This window comes from Homo sapiens, chromosome 8, assembly GCF_000001405.40.
Source record: "Homo sapiens chromosome 8, GRCh38.p14 Primary Assembly".
In the NCBI taxonomy this organism is placed as follows: domain Eukaryota; kingdom Metazoa; phylum Chordata; class Mammalia; order Primates; family Hominidae; genus Homo; species Homo sapiens.
The window spans coordinates 88,503,734-88,529,868 of NC_000008.11; the positions used below are offsets into that span (position 1 = coordinate 88,503,734).

Genomic DNA, 26,135 nt, shown 5'->3' on the forward strand with positions numbered 1-26,135 from the left:
TGTCATGGTATGTAGAAGCATGTATATCAGGATTCTGGAATGGGCCTGCTTGTTTAGTGTTGGTCCATTCCAGAATCCTGATATACATGCTTCTAAATACTTGTGAATGGTCTCTCATAATTACATAAAAGTAAGTTGAAAAGCACGAAGTTTCCCAGAATAAGAGCACAGTAACCTAGGTTTGTGTGTATGAGGGCAAACGTGCATGTGTGTCAGTCTGTGTGTGTGTTTCAGTTGCTTAGTACAAGCTTTGTCACTCCTTGATATAGTTACAAGGAGGAATATACACATTTGTGAGGGTGGAAACCAGTCCTATCACCTCATTTTTATGGGAGATCTATTGGGATGGATCAGAGCAGAAAAGAATAACAATGAGTCCCTTGAAATAAAATAAGTCCCAGAGATCCAGAAAAGGGCATAAAAGCCCAGGAATGTGTGTGTATGGGGAGGGATGGTATGATGATCATGGTAGGCTTTTTGATTCATGGCAAGTGACAGATAATGAAAATGCCATCTGGGTTTAGCCATTTTAGTATAGAGTGCACTCTTTGGAAAAAAATAATTAAATTTATTGAGGAAGGGCTGAAAGAGTGATAAACCACAAGACAAGTGTAAGACATCTGAGTTACTTCTGAGGATGAGTCTTCAGAAGGAATTTCACGTGGCAGTGAGAATCAGTGTCTATATTTAACTGAAGAGTTTGTGGTACACTCACAGGAGAACTGAGTTCCTCGGACTGGGTTTCTTAAATTATTGAAAGAGATGGAGAAGCCATCTCTTGTATTAGTAAAGTTGATTACACTAATTTTATAGAAAACTATACATGAAAATTTTAATTAGTAGGTGCTGGGTTAACAACAGTTGCTAAATAAAAGTTATCATATAATACCATGTAATAGCATCACTTGGGAAATAATGAGAGATCTGACATTTAGGATCTGTCAGCAAATCTGGCAAGTCTCTTTTTATCTGCGTCCTTGCCACATAAAGTCAATATCTGCATGTGTTTCAGGGTTAAACAAGTTAATTTCTTGAAGCAGGAATTTTGTGAGAATAGACATATTTATCATTGCTTATGGGTCTCATTTCACTGAGATATTCGATAACATCATTTTAAAAAGGTGCATCCTTTTAGTTATATGGCCATTCTTACAATGACACTCCACACTATTCTCTTGTTAATTGTAGAAAAAAATAGAAGACACATTTGAGTCTTTAAGTAACATAAAGTGAATAAACAACAGGGCAAAAAAGTGCCATATCTTTGAAATTGTTCTTAAAATTTAGTTTTATTTTAAAATTCAGAAACAATTTTCTGTATCCAAAGGCAAATGGTGTAGGTGTCCATTAAACAAAACAAAACAAAACAAAACAAAACAAAACAGGCCAGGGGCAGTGACTCAGGTCTATAATCCCAGCACTTTGGGAGGCCAAGGCAGGATGATTGCTTGAAGCCAGGAGTTTGAGATCAGCTTGGGCAACATAGTGAGACCCTATCTCTATAAAAACTTTAAAAAATATTATCCAGGTGTGTTGGCACATGTTTGTAGTCCAAGCTACTCAGGAGGCTGAGTTGGGAGGATCACTTGTACCTAGGAGTTTGAGGCTGCTGCAAGCTATGATTGTGACATTGCACTGCAGCCTGGGTAACAGAGTAAGACCCAATTTCTTAAAAAATACAAACATGAAAACAAGAGAAACACACAGAGTGACACCAACAAAATGACAAAATAAAGTTTTCCCAGAACTCAACCCCTCACAGAAACATCAAGTTGAATAAACATTGATGCATGAGAATAACTTCATAAGTGCCAGGGAATCCAGATGACAGATGGCAACACATATGGCGATCACAGAATAAGAAAAGACTCACTGAAGATGGTAGGAAGGGCAGATTCACATTACCCATGTCATCTTTTCCCCAAGCCCATGAAACACAGTGAGAAGACAGATAGCCTATGTGTGAGAAAAAGAAAATAAAATGAGCACCCAACTTTGCCACAGACTCTAGGACCAGGCCTACCCCAGTGTACCCTCGTGCCAGGCTGGTATTTGCAGACCCAGGCTGTAAGCCTTACCCCTGTGTACTCAGGCTCTAGGCCTACCCCATATCCTCAGGCTCCATGTCCACTTCAGCACCAGGCAAGCTCCATGATTCAGGGTCCTGGCCACCCAGTAAAAACCCAACCCTTTTAACCCCAGGCTTCAGGCCATCCCTTAAAGACCCAAGTTCTAGGTTTGTAGCTGCATGAGGCAAGCCTAGGCACCAGGTAACAGGCCAATCCCTGCAGACACAGTTCCAGGACCACCCCAGCACCAGGCCTGCCTGCTCAATGGCCCAGGCATCAGGCCCACCCAACAGAAAACTTCAGCAGTAAGCCCACTTGCAGATCCTGCCAGTCAGACAGCCCAAGTAATCTCTGGGCAGGCTGCTTGGTGAATGGCTTTCCCTGCCAAAGACATAGATGATTTAAAAGCAGAAAGAAAAAATGACTCATCACCTGCAAGGGAAATCCCATAAGACTGTCAGTAAGTTCCTCAGCAGAAACCTGGTAGGCCAGGAGAGAGTAGGATTATGCAATTAAAATATTGAAAGAAAGAAACTGTCAGCTGGGTGCAGTGGCTTACGCCTGTAATCAGAGCACTTTGGAAGGCTGAGGCTGGCAGATCAGGAGGTCAGAAGTTCAAGACCAGCCTGGCCAACATGGTGAAACCCTGTCTCTAATAAAAATACAAAAATCAGCTGGGTGTAGCGGCATGCACCTGTAATCCCACCTACTCAGGAGGCTGAGGCAGGAAAATTACTTGAACCTGGGAGGCAGAGTTTGCAGTGAGCTGAGATCATGCCATTGCACTCCAGCTCTGGACAACAGAGCAGGACTCTGTCTCGTAAAAAAAAAAAAAAAAAAAAAAAAAAGAAAGAAAGAAAAGAAAAAGAAAACAAGAAAAGAAACTGTCAACCAAGGTTATTGTACCAGGAAAACTGCCATTGAGAAATGAAGAGGACATAAAGACTCTCCTAGACAAAAACTAAAAGAATTCAACATCACTAGACCTGCCTTACAAGAAATGCTAAAAGGAGTTCTTCAAGTTGAAATGAAAAGAAACTAATTAACAACTTGATATCTTATGAAAGTATAAAACTCACTGCAAAAGTATGAATACAGCCAAATTCAGAATACTGTAATACTGTAATGGTGGTTTGTAAATCACATTTAATTCTATTATAAAAGCCTTAAACATATTAAAAATCACTAAAGATACAATAATTTGTTAATGGATACATGATATAAAAAGACTTAAATAATGGCATCAATAACACAAAGTGTGGCGGGAAGAGGAGTTAAAATGTGGAGTTTCTGTATGTAATCAAACTTATCAGCTTAAAAGAGATTATTATGACTATAATAAGTTTTATGTAAGAGTCATAATAATGACAAAGAAAAAATTCCTGTAATGGATACACAAAAAAACAGAAGAACAAAGCATACTACTACAAAAATTATCAAATAACAAAGGAAGACAATAAGAGACAAAGGATGGAACAAAGGAACTATAAAACAAAAACCAATTAACAAAAATGGCAATAGTAAGTTATTCCTAACAATTCATGTAATGTGAATGGATAATATTCTCCAATTAAAAGACATAGAATGTTGAATGGATAAAAATACAAGATCAAATTATATGCTGCCTACAAGAGATTCATTTTAGCTTTAAGGACATATATAGGTTTTAAGTAAAGAGTAGAAACAAGATATTTCATGCAAATGGTAACCAGAAGAGAGAATGAGGTGGCTACACTTTTCTAAGACAAAATAGATGCTGTGTCAAAAACTGTCAAAAGAGACAAACAAGGTCATAATATAATAATAAGGGATCAATTTATTGTGAAGCTATAACAATTATAAATATATTTGCACCCAATATTGGAGAACCTATGTATATAATACAAATGCTAACAGACCTAAAAAAGGGAAACAGAGAGCAATGCAATAATAGTAAAAATTTTATAGCCCACCTTCACAATGAGTAGATCATCCAGAAAAAAATCACAGAGAAACTGTGGACTTGAACAATAGTTGGCCTAATGAACATAATAGATATACATAACTTTTCATCAATAGTAGCATAATACATATTCTTTTCATGAGCACATAAAAATATTTTCAAGGATAGATAATATGTTATGCCACAAAACAAGTCTTAATAAATTAAAAAAAAATGGAAGTTATATCAAATGTCTTTTCTGGCAACAATGGCATGAAATCAGAAAATTCACAAATATATGAAAATCAAACAATACACTACTGAACAACTAATGGGACAAAGAATAAATCAAAAAAGAAAACAAAAAGTTTATTAACACAAATAGAAATGGAAACACAGCATATACTGAAACTGATAGGATGTAGCAAAAATAGTTCCATGAGGGACGTTTGTAACAATAAATGCCTGCATCAAGAAAAAACTCTCAAATAAATGACCTAACTGTATATCTCAAGGAACTAGAAAAAGAAGAGCAAACAAAGGCCAAAGTTAGTAGATGGAAAGAAATAATAAAGATAAGGAGACTTAAAAAATAAAAACAGTTTAAAAAACTAACAATTGGTTTTTTGAAAAGATAAACAAAATAGAAAAACCTTTATTTACCTGGAAAATGAAAGAAAATTCAAATAAATAAAATTATTGGCCAGGTTCAGTGGCTCATGCCTGTAATCTCAGCCCTTTCGGAGGTCGAGGTGAGCACATCACTTGAGGTCAGGACTTTGAGGCCAGCCTGGCCAACATGATGAAACCCTGTCTCTATTAAGAATACAAAAATTTATCAGACATGGTGGTGCATGCCTGTAATCCCAACCACTTGGGAGGCTGAGGCACAAGAATTGCTTGAACTCAGGAGGCAGATGTTGCAGTGAGCCGAGAGTGCACCAATGCACTACAGCCTGGGTGGCAGAGGGAGACTCTGTCTCAAAATATATGTTTATGTTCAATAAAACATTTCATGGTTAATGAAAGAGAAGACATTACTAGTGATACCACAGCAATATAAAGGGTCATAAGAGATTACTATGAACCATTAATGTGACAACAAGTTGGATAATTTACAGGAAATAAATAAATTACTAGAAACGTAAAACCTAAGAAGAGAAAATCATGAAGAAATGAAAAATTTGAAGAGCCAGTAATGGGTAAGAAGATTGCATCTGAAATTAAAAAGCTGCCATCAAAGAAAAGTCTAGAACCTGATGAATTTATTGATGAATTCTACCAAACATTTAAAGAATTAACACCAATCCTCAAACACTTCCCCAATACTGAAGAGAATGCTTCCAAATTCCTTTTATGAGGTGTATTACTCAGGGTTATCTTAGGGGGACAGAGCTAATAGGGTGTATATATATATATATACATATATATGTACACACACACCTATATATATATGAAATATGTAATATATATAATACTTAATAAACTCTCCTTTATATTATAGATGTTCGAGGGCAGGGATCATCCAGCATGGGAGAAAGATATAGGCTGGGAGTCTAGGCCCATCTCTCCTTTTTCTGCCTGCTTTATATTCGCTGGAAGCTGATTAGATTTGCCCAGCAGATTAAGGGTAGATCTGCCTCCCCAGCCCACTGACTCCAATGTTAATATCTTTTGGCAACACCCACACAGACACACCCACGATTAATACTTTGTATCCCTCCATCCAATCAAGTTGACACAGTATTAGCCATCACATGAGGCAAGCATTATTATGATTTCAAAGTCAGACAAGGACACTAAAATAAAGGAAATTACAGGCTAATATTGCTGTTGATGGAAAAATCCTCAACATAATACTAGCAAAGAAAATTCAGCAGCACATTTAAAGGATGATACACCATGATCAAATGTGATTTACCCCCAGGATGCAATGATAGCTTGCTATAGTTTGGATATTTGATCCTCCAAACCTCATGTTGAAATTTGAGTCCCAATGCTGAAGTTAGGGCCTAGTGAGAAGTGTGTGGGTCACGAGGGGAGGATCCCTCATGAACAGTTTTAATGCCCTCCTTGATGGGGGATGGGGAGGGATGAGTGAGTTCTCACTCTTATTAGTTCCCATGAGAGACAGTTGTTAAAAAGAACCTGGCATCTCCCTATTCTTCCTCTCTTTCTTCCTCTCTCACCATGTGATCTCTATATATGCCTGCTTCCCTTCACCTTCCACCATGAGTGGAAGTAGTCCGAGGCTCTCATCAGAAGCAGATGCTGGTACCGTGCTTGTACAGCCTGCAGAACGGTAAGCCAAATAATCCTCTAACTTACCCAGCCCTAGGTATTCCTTTATAGCAATATGAATGGACTAACATATGGCTTAATATATGCAAACCAATAGATGTGATACAAGACGTTAAAAGAATGAAGGGTAAAAATCATATAGTAATTGCAATAAAAGTGAAGGAAAACATTTAACAAAATTCAGCTCCTTTCATAATAAAAACTCCCAAATTAGGAAGAAAAGGGAAGTACCTCAACACAATAAAGCCTACAGCTTTCTGGATTATATGACAAGCCCACAGCTAACATCACTCTCAATGGTTAAAAGCCGAAAGCTTTTCCTCTAAGATCAGGAACGTGAAAAGGGTGCCCACTTTTACCACTACTGTTCAACACAGTAGTGAAAGTTCTAGCTGGAGAAATTAGTCTCTCTCTCTCTCTCTCTGTCTATATATATAAAACATATATTTATGTTCAATAAAATGTTTCATGGTTAATGAAATAAAAGACATTTATATATAAATGTTATATTTATATATAAGTATATATTTGTATGTATAAATATATAAATATGGTTTCAGGTCTTACATGTAAGTCTTTGATTCACTTTGATTCACTTTGCATTGATTCATATACTTATATAAACCACTCGATTTATATATTTATATATAAATATATATTAACTTATATATTTGGATATATATGAAATATATAACATATATTTATATATGCCATATTTTATATATACACACACAAATAAAAGGCAAATTTTACTTCTTGAATTAAAAATATATTACAACATATATATCACAATCAGATAAGAAAATAAGTAAAATTAGCTCTGTTTGCAGATGATAACATCTCAATATAGAACATTCTAAAGACTACCTTAAAAACTGTTAGAATAAAATATGAATTCAGTAAAGTTGGAGGATATAAAATAACACAGATATTCTGTTGTATTTTTTATACACTAACAACCAACCATCTGAAAGTAAATCAAGAAAACTATGTCATTTATAATAGTTTAAAAATAAAATACTTAGAAATAAATTTAACTACGGAGATGAAAGATCTGTACACTGAAAACTATAGAATGCTTATAAATTGTGTAATGCACAAATAAATGGAAATATATCCTGCGTTCATGAGTTGGAAGAGTTAATATTATTAAAATGTCAGTACTACCTGAAGTGATTTATAGATTTAATGCAATCCTTATCAACATTTCAGTGGCATTTTTTACAGAAGTAGAAAACTTTTTCTGGAAACAAAAAAGATCCTAAAGAGCCAAATCAATTTAGAAACAAAAAAGAAGGCTGAAGCATCATACTTCTCATCATACTTCTTGAATTAAAACTCTACTACAACATTACATTAATCGAAACAGTTTGGTACTGTCATGAAAACAGACATACACCAACAGAAGAGAATAGAGTGCCCCAAAATAAATCCATACATTTATGTTTAATTTATCTTCACCAATGATACCAATAACATACAATGGGAAAAGGATAGTCTCTTCAATAAATGATTTTAGGTAAACTGGATATTCACATGTGCTATTGTTTGTCCTTTTTTCAAAACTCATGTTGAATTTTAATTGCCATTGTGATAGTATCAAAAGGTGGAACATTTTAAGAGGTAATTAGGTGAAGAGACTTACGCTTTCATGAATGGATTAATGCCATTATGGGCAGAGTAGGCTCCCCCCATTTTCTCTCTGTCCTGCACAATTCCTGCCTTTTTCTCTTTGAGCCATGGGATGATGCAACAAGAAAGCCCTCACCAGATAGCTAAGCAGATGCCAGCACCACATCTTAGGACTTCCTAGCTTCCAGAAGCATGAGTTAAATAATTTTTTTTTCTTTACAAATTACTCAGGCTGTGGTACTATATTATAGCAGCAGAAAATCTAAGGCCATATAAAACTTAATAAAATTGACCCCCTTTTTTCACAGCATATCAATGTAAAGTAAATCATGACTTAAATGTAGGACCTGAAACCATAAAACTACTAAGAAAACATAGGAGAAATGCTCCTTAATGTTGGTGTGGGTTATGATTTTTGAAAATGAACTTAAAAGCACAAGTAACAATATCAAAAATGGACAAACAAAATTTTATCAAATTATAAAGCTTCTGCAGAGCAAAGGAAACAAAAAAGTGAATAGACAATCCATAGCATGGGAGAAAATATTCATAAACCATACATAGGGCTTAACTCAAAATGAATAAAAACTCAAATAATTCAACAGAAAAAAACAGTAACTAATTTAAAAGACATTTTTCAAAAGAAGACATACCCGTTATTAACAGCTATATTAAAAGGTGCTCAACTGTCACTAAACATTAGGGAAATGCAAATTAAAACTGCAATGAGTTGTCATCTCACGTCTGCTAGAATGGCTATTATTAAACTGACAAAACAATTGTTGGCAAAGACATGCAGTAAAGGGAACCCTTGTAGACTATTAAGGGGAATGTAAATTAGTACAGCTATTATAGAAAACTGTATGGAGGTTTCTCAAAAATGTAAACAAACAAACAAAAATGACATATGACCTAGCTATCTGCCTCCTGGGTATATATCTGAAAGAAATTAATTCAGTATGATGAAGAGATATCTGCATTCCCATGTTCATTGCAGCATTATTCACAATAGCTAAGATATGTAAGTAACTCGAGTGTCCATCAGTGTATGAATAAAGAAAATGTGGTATACATACACAATGGAACATTATTTAGCCTTAAAAAATGAAATTCTGTCATTTGTGACAACATGGATAAACCTGGAGCACATTACGCTAATGACATTAATCAAGCACAAAAAGACAAATACCACACGATGTCACTTATATGTGGAATGTAGAAATATCAGACTAATAGAAGCAGAGAGTAGAATGGTGGTTGCCAGTGAATTTGGGGACTGGGGAAATGAGGAGATCTTGGTCAAAGGATACAGTTTCAGTTATGCAGGATGAATATATTCGGGAGATACACTACAGCATGCTGACTGATATGGTTTTGGTGTGTCCCCACCCAAATCTCTCCTTGAATTGTAATAATCCTCACGTGTCAAGGGCAGGGCCTGGTGGAGATAATTGAATCATGGGGGCAGTCTGCCCCGTACTGTTCTCATGGTACTGAATAAGTCTCACGAGATAGGATAGTTTTATAAATGGGAGTTCCCCTGCACAAGTTCTCTTTCCTGCTGCCGTGTAAGATGGAACTTTGCTGTTCATTTGCCTTTGACCGTAATTGTGAGGCCTCCCCAGCCATGTAGAACTGTGAGTCAATTAAACCTCTTTCCTTTATAAATTACTCAGTCTCAGGTATGTCTTTATTAGCAGCGTGAGAACAAACTAATACAGTGACTATAGTTAATAATACCGTATTGTATACTTGAAATTTGCTAAAGAGTAGATGTTAAATGTTCTCACCACAAAAAAAATAAGGTGACTATATGAGGTTTTGGATATGATAATTAGCTGGATTGTCGTAATCATTTCACAATGTGTATATATACATAAGTATCACACTGTAAACCTCAAATATGTACAATTTTAATTTGTTAATTTTACCTCAATAAAGCTGGAAAATGATGAACAAAGTACAAATAGTCAAACTTAATCTTCAGTATTGGTTTGGTGTTTTATAGAAACCTGAGAAAAAGGTAATGGCTATGTCTCACAGACTCTTCTTGGGAATGTGAAATAGGAGAACTTATATGATATGATCAGAGAAGGCATACATATAGAACGATTAGCTTTCTGCATTCAATGATGTCTTAGTATTAAGAAATGTATTAACATATTTTGTCACATCGACAAGTTCAAAAACTGAAATCAAGATGACCTGAGTAGATGCCTCAAGGGCATTTGATAAATACAAATTCCCTCCTAAACTGAAAAAAAGTAAAATAGAAACAAGTCTCTCCTTTAATATAATGAAAGATATTTATTTCAAAACAATAGTTAGTATCTTAATTACTAGTGAAACACTAAGAATGTTACTATTAAACTTGGGACTAAGACAAGGATGATTATGTCCTGCAGTGATTAACTTTATTTGAAAATCATTCCCTGATGCAGCTTACACACAAGGTGGGAAACACAGTATAAGAAAAAATTGAAATTATTTACATTTAACATGCTTAAAAATAGAGAATCATTGAAAAATATTAGGACTTCTAAAAATATTGGGTAAAATAAATAATTACTAAAATATTCAACAGCTTCTTCTAGCACTGCCCCACCCAAATTTAGAAAATATAATGAGCAAAAAAAGATTGCATATATAGTATTTTATTAAGTAGTTGTTAGGGTCTATTAGGAATGCTCTAAAAATTGCAGTGACTGGCATAAATGAGGACTCTATATTTCTCAAAGTGAAGATTCAATAATTTTAAAAAGTCAACTTTTACCTATTTTTAATTTTTAATTTAATTACAATGAAAGGAAAATCACATTTTAATTAGCAAAGTGATTTTAAAATGTTCTTCTAGCATAAAATATATGTGAGAATAACAAAAATATAAACATGCTCTTCCAAATGTCAAAATTAATATAAAACTAGAACAATGAAACATTGTGGCCTTGGCACAGAAGTAGATAGATAATTGGAACAGAGTAAGAAGTCCACATAGCAATTGTAAGACATATAAACATTTCAGTTTGTCTTGAATTATCATTTCAGATCAGTGCAGGATTTTGTGCATTTGTAAGTAGTGTTATGACAAGTATTTAGAAATATAAATTAAGTAAATAAATAAATAAATAAATGGAGTTTAGAACAGAATCTCTCACCACATACCAACACAATTTCTAAAAGATTTACAACTGGTTACAGTGGCTTCTTTCATAAAAACACCAGAAACACATAGGTGATTATCTGGTCTCAGGATGAATAAGGCTCTTAAACAGGACAATAAAAAATATAAGCAACAGACATTATGGGGAAAATTAGATGCTATATAAAATAAAAATCTCTTTTATCAAACAGCATAAAAGGAAGTTATTGGAAAAATAAATATTGATGAAAATAATTGGAATATGTATGTAAGATAATAGGTTAGCTGTCCTTAACACCAAAGATGGAAAAGGGTCAAAGAACACAAATGGATAATTTGTTAATGGAAAAATACAATTTTTCATTATTTTGAAATATGATATTTATCCCCAGAAATCAAGAAATTCATTTAATACAGCAAGTCTATGTCCTGTCTTACTTGATTATTCTGTTTTCTTTCATATGGAAATCCAAATTTGAGAACTCATGATGATTTTCCTGCATTTATAGCTCTTTCCCCTCTAAATTAAATTACAAAAAGAAAGTACTAAAAAGCCTAAAGCTTGTGTTCAAGGATGCCAATAATTTCACCCGTCTCTGAATTATGTCTCTTTTAATTATTATATAATTCTGGACAAAAGCCAGATAATGTTCTCACTGAAAAAAAAAAAAAAAACCCAAGTTTTCTGTAGAAATATGGCTTATATTTTACCGCAGGAATCAAAAGCTATTTTTAAATGAATTATTATCTTTCCTTTTTTTGCCAAAATAAAAATCACGCAGAATCCTATTTTTATTAAAATAAAAGGACCTTAGCATTTCTGAATTCTAGTTAAAATGGAAGCCTTTTGCTACAACATATGTGGAGATTTCAGTGCCTTGCTTATTTTAGCTCTTTCTTCTTACACTTAGTAATATTACCTGCCCACTTTACATTTGCAAACAGTGATTTGAACTGCATTATGCAGAAAAGACAGGAGTGTCTAGGAGAGAGTAAATCCTGGCCTGTCTGTAGAGTTGAATGTAGCAGCAGCATCTGCTCTGCTGCTACTCTCAGAGCAGTGCTCCTCTACTCTTACATTATACACATATTTTACTTTGATGTTCATACCCGTCAGCTATGGGCCCCTCTCCATTCTCAACACCATAGGAATTCTAATTTCTTACTTTTACACTGAATACTTTGGCACTAGACTCTTTGCCTCGTCATCCTTGTAACTCAATATATGGACCATTTATTGAACTTACTAGCCTCTCAGGTTCTCTGTGTCCACATTTTCAATAACCTCCCTTTTACTTTACTGAAGTGCCTTTTCCTGACAACACTCTGAGTCATGATATCATCATCATTCACTTCATCTCTGAAATCAGATGAGTTTTTAAAATCTGGATAAAACGTTTTATCTTGTCTTCTCCCCCTTTTAATTGCCTTATTTCATTGGTCTAGATGCCTTTTCTTTGTCTATATTCATCCCTTTCTATCTCAATTTATTTCCATGTCTGGCTTTGATTCTGTACTCACTGTTCTTCTAGTGTACCTAACCCTATATCAATCCAAGGTCAATGTAGCCTTCTCTATACCTAGGCTTGAATTGTTGAGCAGAAATGAAGAAAATTACAAAATGTGTATATTGGTGTTTATATCAACTGGGTTTTCAGTTGCAAATATCAGAAACAAACTCTGACTCATTTAAACAGTATATTAGTATAATAAAAGGTATTGACTGAGTGGCTCACACAATTTCCAGAAGGACCTGAATTCTTGGCCATAGAAAATGCTCAAAGTCATGCTGAAGAACCACCCTATAAGACTCAAATGTTATTTCTGCTGGCTCAGTGGATGCAGGATATTTAACTATGTTATTAAAACTGTTGTTACTGATATCTTTGAAAACTGCATATAGTAATGTATTTCTAGCAGAATGTTGGGCTAGAAATTCTGAATCATCCAGAATATGTGGGTTAAATCATAATCAACATACTTTTAAAAGCTTCTGAACATTTAAGAAAGTAAGTATTACCATCCAGTCTGTACCAAGGAAAATCAAACAAAAATCAAAATTTATTTGAGATGATACAAATTGCTAGAAAGAGAAAATAGTATTAGCCCAAAGTCACATTCATATTTCAATTATTTAGATTCTTTGGGATAAAAGTCTGTTCCTGTAATGGTGTCTCTGAACCCACAGTGGAAGATAAACCTCAATGCTATGCATAACATGATATATAATATAAAATAATAAAACATTATATATTTATGTCATAAGAAATAAAACATGATTACTCATGTACTCATGAGCCACTGTAAGAAATGAAATATTTCCAAAATTTGTGAAGCCCCTTGTGTGACCATCCACAATCCTTCCTTTCCTATTTCCATAACGCAGTAGCTATCAGATTGGCTGAACACAATCCTTCCTTCCCTCTCCCCTATTTTCTTCTGAGCTTCAAGCCTGTTGATTTTGGCTTCAAAATACATCTCAGCTGTATCCATTGCTTTTCCTTCCCACTGCTACTACTTGCTCCAGATTTCAATTGTTTTCTGTTATATCAGTAGCCTAAAACCTGGTCTTTGCAAATCTACCATGGCTCCATTCTAACCCATTCTCAATATTGCTATCTCAATGACCTGTTTCAAAAACAGAAATATGTCTACATTGTTGTCTGGTTAAAAACCCTCAATGCTTCCCTATTGTCTTTTTAAGAAAGTCAAAACTCCTTATATAAGGCCCTTCCTTTATTCCCTGTTCTGTCTACATGTCCAGAGCCATCTCTCTATGGTTCTCAGCTTAGATATAATTTCCCCTGTGAGCCTGTTGAGTGTATCTGTTATTAGCTTCTAGCATCCATTTTATCCTTCCTTGATGAGACCAGAATGTTTCGCTCACTCGGTACTTGTGCTATTAGGAAGGAGCATGTGATTCGGCCCTAGGTCACCCAGAATAACCCACTTCTCTGAGCCATGTGATTATTTATGTATGATGGACACATGACCCAAGCCAATCCATTCAGAGGATATCTCAGTGCTTTGCTTGAGCTGTCTGCAAAGACTCAGAGAGTTGGGTTTGGCCTGATGTGATGATGCAAACCTGAAGACACTGGGCCACCATGTGCAAATTAGTTTAGAATCACCCATAATTGAATCCTGCATCTTCTATGCATGTTTTATGTATGTGAACAAATTTATTTTTTCAAATACATTGGAGTTGTGTTTTCTGTGACTTGAAATGAAAAGATTGAGCACAGAGTCCTGCCCTAATTGTGCTTGAGTGGGTCAACCCTGCTGTCTGTTCTGAAGACCCTACACTACGCCCATGGCAATGCAGTTGTCACATTTCAAACTCGCCTCCTTGCTCACTCTGTTCTAACCACGCTAGCCTCCTTGTTGTTTCTCCAGCAAGGGAAGCTTCAGCACCTCGGTGCCTTGGTAATTATTTTCCTTCTGCCTCATTCTTTCCCAACAATAGACTGTTTCTCAAAGTAACATTCTCAGAGAGCCTTTTGGTGGACACTCTCTTAAAAAATATAAATATGTCTTGGCCAGACATGGTGGTTCACACCTGTAATCCCAGCACTTTGGTAGGCTGAGGCGGGCGGATCACCTGAGGTCAAGTGTTCAAGACCAGCCTGACCAACATGAAGAAACCCCATCTCTACTAAAAATACAAAATTAGCCGGGGTGGTGGTGCATGCCTGTAATCCCAGCTACTTAGAAGGATGAGGCAGGAGAATCACTTGAACCCAGAAGGCAGAGGTTGCAGTGAGCCGAGATTGCACCATTGCACTCCAGCCTAGGCAACAAGAGCAAAACTCTGTCTCAAAAAAAAATTATATATATATAAAATTATATATATATTTATACATTTATAGGCTTATAAGAGTTCAGAAATATATATAATATATTTATACATTTATATATAATATATAAATATATTAATTATATATAAATATATTAATTATATATAAATATATATATTTCTGAACTCTTATAAGCCTATTTTTTCTACTTACCACTTGTAGCAATTTAATATACTCTAAGTATTTACTTATTTATCACACTATTGCTTATCTCTTCCATAACACACACTTAAGATGGAAATTGATATGTGTATTGCCTAGAACAATGTCTCACACATGATAAGGACGCAGTCTGTATTTTTCAACAAATGAATACAACTGTTTTTGAGTTTCACCTATGTTCAGGCACTATTTTAGATTCTAAGTCTACACAAGTAAATATGACTGGCATGGTTCTTTTGCAGATAGCATATAGCCTAAAAGGAGAAATGCTAAACAAGTAATTATTAGTTTTGTTTTAGATCTACAAGGTCAAGGACATTTTTTTTATCATTGTATCTACTGCTCTGAGCACATGACCAGGAATTAAATACATATTTTTAAATGGTTGAACAAATTAATATCCTTCCTATCAAAACATAATCTGTCTAACCTGGGTGACTAACTGCCTGAGTAACCTGAAAGAGCTATAATAACTGTATTCTCATTTCTAAAATTGCAACCATACCAGTTGTCTTCCCTATTAGAAGAACCCAGGGCAAGACAAAGAGGACATGCATATGAAAACACTTACAAAGAAATGAAATAATATATGAACAGAGTTATCATTACTGCTATTACTTTAATCACTTAAAATTTCCTTAGATAGAATTTATTATAACTATTTCACTTAGGTAACATATACTTTCAGTTGTAAAACCTTATTATATTAATGCAGACATCATGGTACTATTTGTTAAAAAAATTTTATATGATTTTTTGGGTTAATCATCCTGATTATAATTGTTTGCATTTCATACCTTTCCAAGACATCCCTCTTTAGCAACTCTAAACTTCTGAACAAAACCCACAGGCTTGTAACACATGCAATCAACAGCCAATCAGTGTTTGTCAAAAACTCTATTGACAAGATCTTGTTACCATTATGTTTTTTAAAGTTCTACCAAAACTAAATTGATCTTTTTTAACTAGTTAAGAAAAAGCTAGTTTATAAATTAGAAATAAAAATTCTTTCATCTCCTATAGAAATAATATTTTACATTAGTAATTGTGTCATTCTTATCTTGGTTCCTCACCAAGAATATTATAAAAGTAATTCTTGATCATATCATCATAGTGAGTGTACATTTTACCTTCATCTTGTTCACAGAAGAACTGGTAATTGAATCATAATTCAATTACTATTTGGTTCTTTTCTTTTTTATTTGATTACCTTTTATCTCATTTTCTCCTAAATTGATTTGTTAAAACTGAATTACTAATTGTTTTAATCTAAAAAGCTATTCTCATTTCTCATTCTGCCTGACCCGTTTGTACTTGACAATATTAATATTTTTGTGTGTAAATTAATAGTCCTTTGTACCCAAAATACACCTTTTTAATACTTTAAATTTTATTAATTTCAAATCATATTATCTTAGCAAATATCCCTGAGAGGAATTGGCAATGACAATCAATTACTGGCACATAAATTAATTTAATCTGTTTGTCTCTTCTAGCTAAGAAACATCATGTATGGAATGAGTTTGATTCATGTTAAAGAGGAAGTAATGAGAGATGATTGGTTGCATGAAAAATGCTGGAGAAGGGAATACTTGGGTTCTTAATGTAGTCAGAGAGACACAAGTAGGAAAGACATATTAAAAGGAGAGGAAAAAGGCAGAAAAGATTTATGAGCGGGAAGGTAAACAATGACTTTAGGTTTTCTTTGCACTGTCTCATTTTTTTCTACATTGGCTAATTTCAGATTGTCTAGTTCTTATCTTTTTTTGACATTATAAGCCAGGCAGGGATAAGAAGAAAACAGTCAAGTATTTTGAACTTCTTATAGGATAAAGTCACTTGGTTGTTTATAAACTCCTCAAAGTCAAAATTTACAATATTCAAGAGCATCTTCCTCCCTGTGCATTTGCCTTTCTCTTTACCTTGCTTAATTGTGCCTGGTCCAGCCATTATCAAACCCAGAATATCAGGATCAATGAAATTTTCTCCATCTGCTTTGATCATGATAGTCAATAATTATGGCACCTTGTCAATTGCACCTTCCCTCAGTTGGGTTACCTTTACTTCTTCTCCACTGGCACTTCTTTATTTCTGACCTTCATTACCTTTGTATTTTTGTCGTAACATAGTAATCTAATGTTCCTATTCACCTGTATAATAACTATATTCATTTCCCATTGTCTATGGGAATGGGCCTTGCAGTATCTGATTTCCATCTAATTTACAGTTTCAATAGGCAATCCTATGGATCCTATACTTTCATCACATCACACCACTTGCCATCCCTTGGCCATGTTTATCATATTTTATGCCTATATGTCTTTACATAAGTTGTTCCGTCTAGCTAGAATTGACTCCTACTCCTTCCTCTGGTGAAGTCCTAGTTATGTTCAACATCCAGCCCAAATGTTGTCTTTGCTGTGATATCTTTTCGGTACACAGATTATAGTAAGAAGAGTTATTTCTTTCTAACTCTGTATTCCCATAACACTACTGCATAATTATTTATGTTAAATTTTGTTTGCTGGCTCACTTTCTATTCTGTAAGCTGCTTGGTGACTGGGTTTGGAATAGTGCCTAATGCACAGTAGGTGCTGACTAAAATTTTGTTGAATGAAATTAGTCATCTCTGTTCAATAGTTTAGCATCCTAGAAAGACTTCACCGTGACAGTTGCAGTACTGACTATATTCAAAGGGTGTGCGTGTGGTTGTGGGTGTGTGTATTCAAAAATATTTTATATGCATGAACATTGTAGCAGGCACCGTAATTTTAGGCTGTCATTAGGTAACTTGTACCTACTGAGAATAAATAAACAACAATTCTCAGGCCAAATGAGATGCATTAGGCTTAACAACGGAAAAAACTCACAAGGATGAACTTTCTAATTCTATTCTTTAAGTACAACATACATTGCTGGGGTATCTTGAAAGTTTGCAACATCAAGAGAGGAGTTTGTAGGTTTTCAGCTGCTAATACACAGACCTTTATGGGTTACTCAGAACAATCATTGTTCCAGGAGATAAATGTTTCATAATCAAGTAAAATTATTGGTAATTAAACAAATGTAGGTGTACCTGCTAACTGCTAGGATGCAACTATAATGGAGCAACTTGTTTAACTTCTGTCCTTATGTGACCTGAGCTTTGAAGTTTCAATGTCCTGACAAGAAGAAGAAGGAGAAGGAGGAGAAAGAGGAGGAGGAGGAGGAGAAGAAAAAGGAGGAGGAGGAAAAAGAGCAGCAGAAGGAGGAGGAAGAAGAAGAGGAGAAAGAGGAGCAAACTTTGAAAGAATTTTACAGATGCATGTGGACTAACTATAAATTATAAATAGGGTTTATTGGTATTAGGGTTTTCTTTGTTAGTATTAGTAACAGAAATTCAACAGGAACAGTCACAGACTGAAACTAATGTGAAGTATTGTTAAAAATTTTCCTTTGATTACATTGCAGAATATATACATACATTTTCTAATTTGTTCAAATATTTTGTTTGTATCTGAACCTACAAAATATTTTCCTTTGCATGTTGACAAAGTAATTTTTCTTACTGTGATGCTGAACTCCAATATCTCCTGCCCTTCTCTGACACATTGTTGTGACTAACCCATTATGCAAACTGCTGAAAAATGTAGTTCCAGCCTCAAATCTGTATTGGTCAGTGCCAGCCACTGCTGTATCTTCATTTTCCAATATTCTTATCAGTATTCCTTGAGTCATTAACTTAGTCATATTTAATGAAAAGTTCTTGTCATAAGATTACTTACACTATTCTTTAAATTTCTTCTAAAATCTATTTAGGTTTATGTCAGTAGGCATTAGGTGTTCTCCACCACAGAACACAAAAAATCAATCATTTGATTTTCATGTTCATATTTTCATTCCTCTCTTAATATCTCAAATTACTCTATCTGATTAATGTAGATATTTAACAGTTACTAATTAAAATAGTCATCATGCTATCTTTTAGATCAACAGAAGATAAAAATAAATCATTTAAAATTTTTATTTTTAATTGACAAATAATTGCATATATTATATATTTATGAGGTAAAATAGCTTTTGATATGTGTTTAAAATGTGAAATGATTAAATAAAGCTAATAAATCTATCACCTCATATTCATACCATATTTTTGTGGTGAAAACATTTAAAATTCATTCAGTGATTTTGAAATATACAATGCATTATTATTTATTATTGTCACTATTCTGTGCAATGGATGACTAAAGCTCTTTCCTCCTATCTAACCAATCAAAGGCTACAAATACATCCTTTAATATTCAACTGTTTAGTGTTATTTCCCAGAATTCTACAAAAGTCTTATAATGTTATATCATATATTTCCTTGAAAATAGGCCAGGTGTGGTGACTTATGCCTGTAATCTCAGCACTTTCGGAGGCCGAGGTTGGTGGATTACTTGAGGTCAAGTGTTCGAGACCAGCCTGACCAACATGGCGAAACCCCGACTCTACTAAAAATACAAAAATTAGCTGGGTGCTGTGGTGGGCTCCTGTAATGCCAGCTACTCGGAGGTTGAGGCAGGAGAATCGCTTAAACCCGGGAAGATGAGGTTGCAGTGAGCTGAGATCAAGCCAATTCACTCCAGCCTGAGTGATAGAGTGAGACTCTTTCTCAAAAAAACAACAAAACAAAACAAAACAAAAACCATCCACCATTTTGAAGATAAAATTACATCTTATTGTAAAGTTTTAAATCCCAATTGTATACTATGGATTTCAATTATAATTTGTTTTCCTGGAGAGAAAGCTGCTTGCTTTCTTTAAACATTTGGATATTAGGATTTGCTCTAGCAATTAGTTAAGTACTGTTTCCAACATTTACTAGCTGTGTGACCAACATTCAGTAGCTTTGTCACCTTGAGGCAAGTTACTTTAAATCTCTGTTCCTCAGTTTTCGTAGCAAGAGAATAGGGATAATTATCATACCTATTTCATAGGGCTTATGTGATTTTTGCATTTTGTAATGCATCAAAGTCCCAACAGTATAAAGGACTTAACTATTATTATTACCATCACTATAATTATTGATTATTTATACTTGCTGAGAGCTCATAGTATGCTCTGGAAATAGGAATAATTTTTGAATAAGATAAAATATTATCAGAACATTTAAGACATTTTCCTGAAATTATGGCTTTTACCTACATCCTGGCTTCTGGTCTAGAAACTCTTATAATTTGAGCAGATTAACTATAATAAAAAAATCCTCAACAATCTTACCACTTACTGCCAATGAAGTTAATGTTCAACTTCATTAAAATCCGCATTCCTTATCTGATAAAATAGATAAGGGAGAAAGAAGGTGGATTTCAATTCCTCTTCAGAGCCATTAACAGTAGAAAAAGGCTCATTCAACTGTCCTAATTGGTACATTAAATGGGGACATGATTATGGCAAAGAAGCCTCAACACGGGCTTTCTCTAGCATCATCCAGAAGTATCTCCTGCTCAGAGAAATAATAAGATAATAAGGAGAAAAATTATTGTGTATAATAGTCATAAGCATGGAAAAAATAAGATGACAGAAGAAGTAGTCCTTGAAAAGGAGAAAGAACATTTGCAATCCACTGACAATATGAGAAGAGAAAACAAATTATAGTAAAAACAACAGAACTTGAATGTGGAGTAGTCCAGATTTGTGATACTTTTTGCATAGAAGGGCCCTGTGGGAGGGAAACAAATAACAAAGTATCAATTACCCAAATTTGGCCTCTCAATACAATTCCAGTTCCCCAGAGAGGTGCTACCCAATTCCTTCATTTTTTTTTAAACAGAATGTTAAATCTCTTTTTTTCTCCATGTGTCAGAGTGCAGAGAAATGCTTGTGGACAGTTGGAACACTGCTAGACATACATTAAAAACTTGGTGAAACCTAGACTGATTTGTGGTTTCGGAGATAATTTGTGAATTTTCTCTGCTAACACTTTAGAGGACATATGGCACTAACTGAAAGAGGGACTCTATACATATGGTGGGGTGACAGATAAAAGACTTCTGGAATAGTAGTGCCAAGATTGATGAATATAAAAAAACTTTTGAAAGTATAACATAGGTGGGTGGCAAGATGGCTGAATAGGAACAACTCTGGTCTGCAGCTCCCAGCGAGATCAATGCAGAAGGCAGGTGATTTCTGCATTTCCAACTGAGGTATCCGGCTCATCTCATTGGGACTGGTTAGACAGTGGGTGCAGCCCATGGAGGATGAGCCAAAGCAAGGTGGGGCATCGCTTCACCCTGGAAGCGCAAGCAGTCAGGGAACTCCCTCCCCTAGCCAAGGGAAGCCATGAGGGACTGTGCCATGAGGAATGGTGCATTCAGGCCCAGATATTATGCTTTTCCCATGGTCTTCACAACCCACAGACCAGGAGATTCCCTTGGGTGCCTACACCACCATGGCCCTGGGTTTCAAGCACAAAACTGGCTGGCCATTTGGGTAGACACTGAGCTAGCTATAGTTTTTTTAATACACCGGTGGTACCTGGAACACCACCGAAACCGAACTGTTCACTCTCCTGGAAAGGGAGCTGAAACCAGGGAGCCAGGTGGTCTAGCTCAGCAGATCCCACCCCCACGGAGCCCAGCAAGCTAAGATCCACTGGCTTGAAATCCTCCCTGCCAGCACAGCAGTCTGAAGTCGACCTGGGACTCTCCAGCTTGGTGGGGGGAGGGGCGTCCACCATTACTGAAGCTTGAGTAAGCAAGCAGTTTTCCCCTCACAGTGTAAGCAAAGCCTACAGGAAGTTGGAACTGGGTCGAGCCCACTGAAGCTCCGAAAAGCCACTGTAGCAAGACTGAATCTCTAGATTTCTCCTGTCTGGGCAGGGCATCTCTGAAAGAAAGGCAGCAGACCCAGTCAGAAGTTTATAAATAAAACTCCCATCTCCCTGGGACAGAGCACCTAGGGGAAGGGGCAGCTGTGGGTGCAACTTCAGCAGACTTAAACATTCCTGTCTGCCAGCTCTGAAGAGAGCAGCAGATCTCCCAGCACAGCGCTCGAGCTCTGCTAAGGGACAGACTGCCTCCTCAAGTGGGTCCCTGCCCCCCGTGCCTCCTGACTGGCAGACACCTCCCAACAGGGATTTTGACAGACACCTCATACAGGAGAGCTCTGGCAGGCATCTGGGGGGTGCCCCTCTGGGATGAAGCTTCCAGAGGAAGGAACAGGCAGCAATCTTTGCTGTTTTGCAGCCTCTGCTGGTGATACCCAGGTAAACAGGTTCTGGAGTTGACCTCCAGCAAACTCCAGCAGACCTGCATCAGAGGGGCCTGACTGTTAGAAGGAGAACTAACAAACAGAAAGGAATAGCATCAACATAAAAGAAAAGGACTTCCACACAGAAATCCCATCTGAAACTCACCAACATCAGAGACCAAATGTAGATCAATCCACAAAGATGAGGAAAAACCAGCACAAAAAGGCTGAAAACTCCAAAAACCAGGACGCCTCCTCTCCTCCGAAGCATCTCAACTCCTCACCAGCAAGGGAACAAAACTGGATGGAGAATGAGTTTAATGAATTGACAGAAGTAGGCTTCAGAAGGTGGGTAATAACAAACCCCTCTGACCTAAAGGAGCATGTTCTAACCCAATGCAAGGAAGCTAAGAACCTTGAAAAAGGTTAAAGAAATTGCTAACTGGAATAACCAGTTTAGAGAAGAACATAAATGACCTGATGGACCTGAAAAACACAGCACAAGAACTTCGTGAAGCATATGCAAGTATAAATAGCCAAATCAATCAAGCAGAAGAGAGGATATCAGAGATTAAAGATCAACTTAATGAAATAAAGCATGAAGAGAAGTTTAGAGAATAAAGAATAAAAAGGGATGAACAAAGCCTCCAAGAAATATGGGACTATGTGAAAACCTACGTTTGACTGGTGTACCTGAAAGTGACGGGGAGAATGGAACCAAGTTGGAAAACGCTCTTCAGGATATTATCCAGGAGAACTTCCCCAACCTAGCAAGACAGGCCAACATTCAAATTCAGGAAACACAGAGAACACCACAAAGATACTCCTTGAGGAGAGCAACCCTAGGACACATAAGTATCAGATTCACCAAGGTTGAAATGAGGAAAAAATGTTAAGGGTGGCCAGAGAGAAAGGTCAGGTTACCCACAAAGGGAAGCCCATCAGACTAACAGCAGGTCTCTTGGCAGAAACCCTACAAGCCAGAAGAGAGTGGGGGCTAATATTCAACACTCTTGAAGAAAAGAATTTTCAACCCAGAATTTCATAACCAGCCAAACTAAGCTTCATAAGCAAAGGATAAATAAAATCCTTTACAGACAAGCAAATGCTGAGAGATTTTTGTCACAACTAGGCCTGCCTTGCAAGACCTCCAGAAGGAAGCACTAAATATGTAAAGGAAAAACTGGTTCCAGCCACTGCAAAAACATACCAAATTGTAAAGACTGTCGACACTATGAATAAACTACATCAAATAATGGTCAAAATAACCAACTAGCATCATAATGATAGGATCAAATTCAAGCATAGCAATATTAACCTTAAATCTAAGTGGGTTAAATGCCTCAAGTAAAAGATACAGAGAGCCAAATCAGGAGTGAACTCCCATTCACAATTGCTACAAAGAGAATAAAATACCTAGGAATACAATTTACAAGAAATGTGAAGGACCTCTTCAAGGAGAACTACAAACCGCTGCTCAAAGAAATAATAGAGGACATAAACAAATGGAAAAACGTTACATGTTCCTGGATAGGAAGAATCAATATCGTGAAAATGGCAGTACTGCCCAAAGTAATTTATAGATTCAATGATATACTCATCAAGCTACTACTGACTTTCTTCACATCATTAGAAAAAACTACTTTAAATTTCATATGGAACCAAAAAGAGCCTGTATAGCCAAGAAAATCCTAAGCAAAAAGAAAAAAGCTGGAGGCATCATGCTACTTAACTTCAAACTATACTACAAGGCTACAGTAACCAAAACAGCATGGTACTGGTACCAAAACAGATATATAGACCAATGGAACAGAACAGAGCCCTCAGAAATAATGCCACACATCTACAACCATTTGATCTTTGACAAACATGACAAAAACAAGCAATGGGGAAAGGATTCCCTATTTAATGAATGGTTTTGGGAAAACTGTCTAGCCATATGCAGAAAACTGAAACTGGACCCCTCCCTTACACCTTATACAAATATTAACTCAAGATGGATTAAAGACTTAAACATAGTACCCAAAACCATAAAATCCCTAGAAGAAACCCTAGGCAATACCATTCAAGACATAGGCATGGGCAAAGACTTCATAACTAAAACACCAAAAGCAATGGCAACAAAAGCCAAATTGACAATTGGGATCTAATTGAACTAAAGAGCTTCTGCACAGCAAAAGAAACTATCATCAGAATGAACAGGCAACCTACAGAATGGGAGAAAATTTTTGCAATCTAGCCATCTGACAAAGGGCTAATATCCAGAATCTGCAAGGAACTTAAACAAATTTACAAGAAAATAACAAACAACCACATCAAAAAGTGGGCAAAGGATATGAACATACAGTTCTCAAAATAAGACATTTATGTGACCAACAAACATATGAAAAAAGTTCATCATCACTGGTCATTAAAGAAATGCAAATCTAAACAACAGTGAGGTACCATCTCATGCCAGCTAGAATGGTGATCATTAAAAAGTCAGGAAACAACAGATGCTGGAGAGGATGTGGAGAAATAGGAATGCTCTTACACTGTTGGTGGGAGTATAAATTAGTTAATCATTGTGGAAGACATTGTGGCGATTCCTCAAGGATCTAGAACCCAAAATACCATTTGACCCAGCAATCCCATTACCGGGTATATACCCAAAGGACTATAAATCATTCTACTATAAAGACACATGCACAGGTATGTTTATTGCAGCACTACTCACAATAGCAAAGACTTGGAACCAACTCAAATGCCCATCAATGATAGACTGGATAAAGAAAATGTCCTTTGCAGGGACATGGATGAAGCTGGAAACCTTCATTCTCAACAAACTAACACAGGAACAGAAAACCAAACACTGTATGTTCTCACTCCTAAGTGGGAGTTGAACAGTGAGAACACATGGACGCTGGGAGGGGAACATTACACACTGGGGCCTGTTGGGGGGTGGAAGGCTAGGGAAGGGATAGCATTAGAAATACCTAATGTAGATGAGAGGCTGATGGGTACAGCAAACCACCATGGCACGTGTATACCTATGTAATAAAACTGCACATTCTGTACATGTACCCCAGAACTTAAAGTATAAAAAAAGGAAATATAAAATATTTGTCCATAAAAGTTTAAAAGCATTAGGGTAAAGCTTGATGTATGCTCATAAAGTTAATACACCTGTGTAACTTGAACCCAAGTAAAGAAATTGAACATTATCCAGAAGTACCCTCATGAGTCCCTGTAGTCACTGCAGCCCCAAAGTTAGCCATTATCCTGATAATATATGCTAGCCTACCATTTTTGCAATTTATGTAAATAAATTCATATGTGATGTACTATTTTTGCCTGGTTTCTTTAACTTCATATATTTGTGAGATTCATCACTATTGTGGAACACATTAGTAGTTTGTTTACTGCCATTATTGTGCACTATTCTATTAATTGACTTTGAGTTGTTCCCAGTTTGTAACTGCCATTACAAATAGTTCTGCTATGAACATTGCTGTTGTACATGTCTTTCATAATAATAGGAATTGCTGAGGATTCTTTGGTTATCATTAAGATACCTGAATTATAAGGGTGTCTAGATCAGAAACAAGACTGCAAGTAAAAACCATAATCCGAAAATATCACACACACACACATACACACACACACACACTCACTTTTATTGGGAATGAAATATAAGATTGGAATTACTTAGCATGCCTATTTTCAGCTCTAGTACAAACTACCAAACCATTTTCCAAAATCTTTGTTTCAACTTACATTCTGGCCAGTACTGTATTGAGTCTAATTGTTCCATATTCTTGACAAAACTTATTATTACTTGTCCTTTTCTTGAGTTATGTACT

The 26,135-nt window shown here is 35.8% G+C and overlaps 2 long non-coding RNA genes across 6 annotated transcripts in view; one reads left to right on the top strand and one right to left on the bottom strand.

The window, feature by feature from the left end:
- Positions 1-26,135, top strand: part of LOC105375630 (uncharacterized) — a 559,756-nt gene that overhangs the window by 175,890 nt on the left and 357,731 nt on the right. The gene's annotated exons all lie outside the window — the stretch shown is intronic.
- LOC105375629 (uncharacterized) overlaps positions 1-26,135 on the bottom strand; it is a 113,196-nt gene that overhangs the window by 18,034 nt on the left and 69,027 nt on the right. The window lies entirely within an intron of this gene.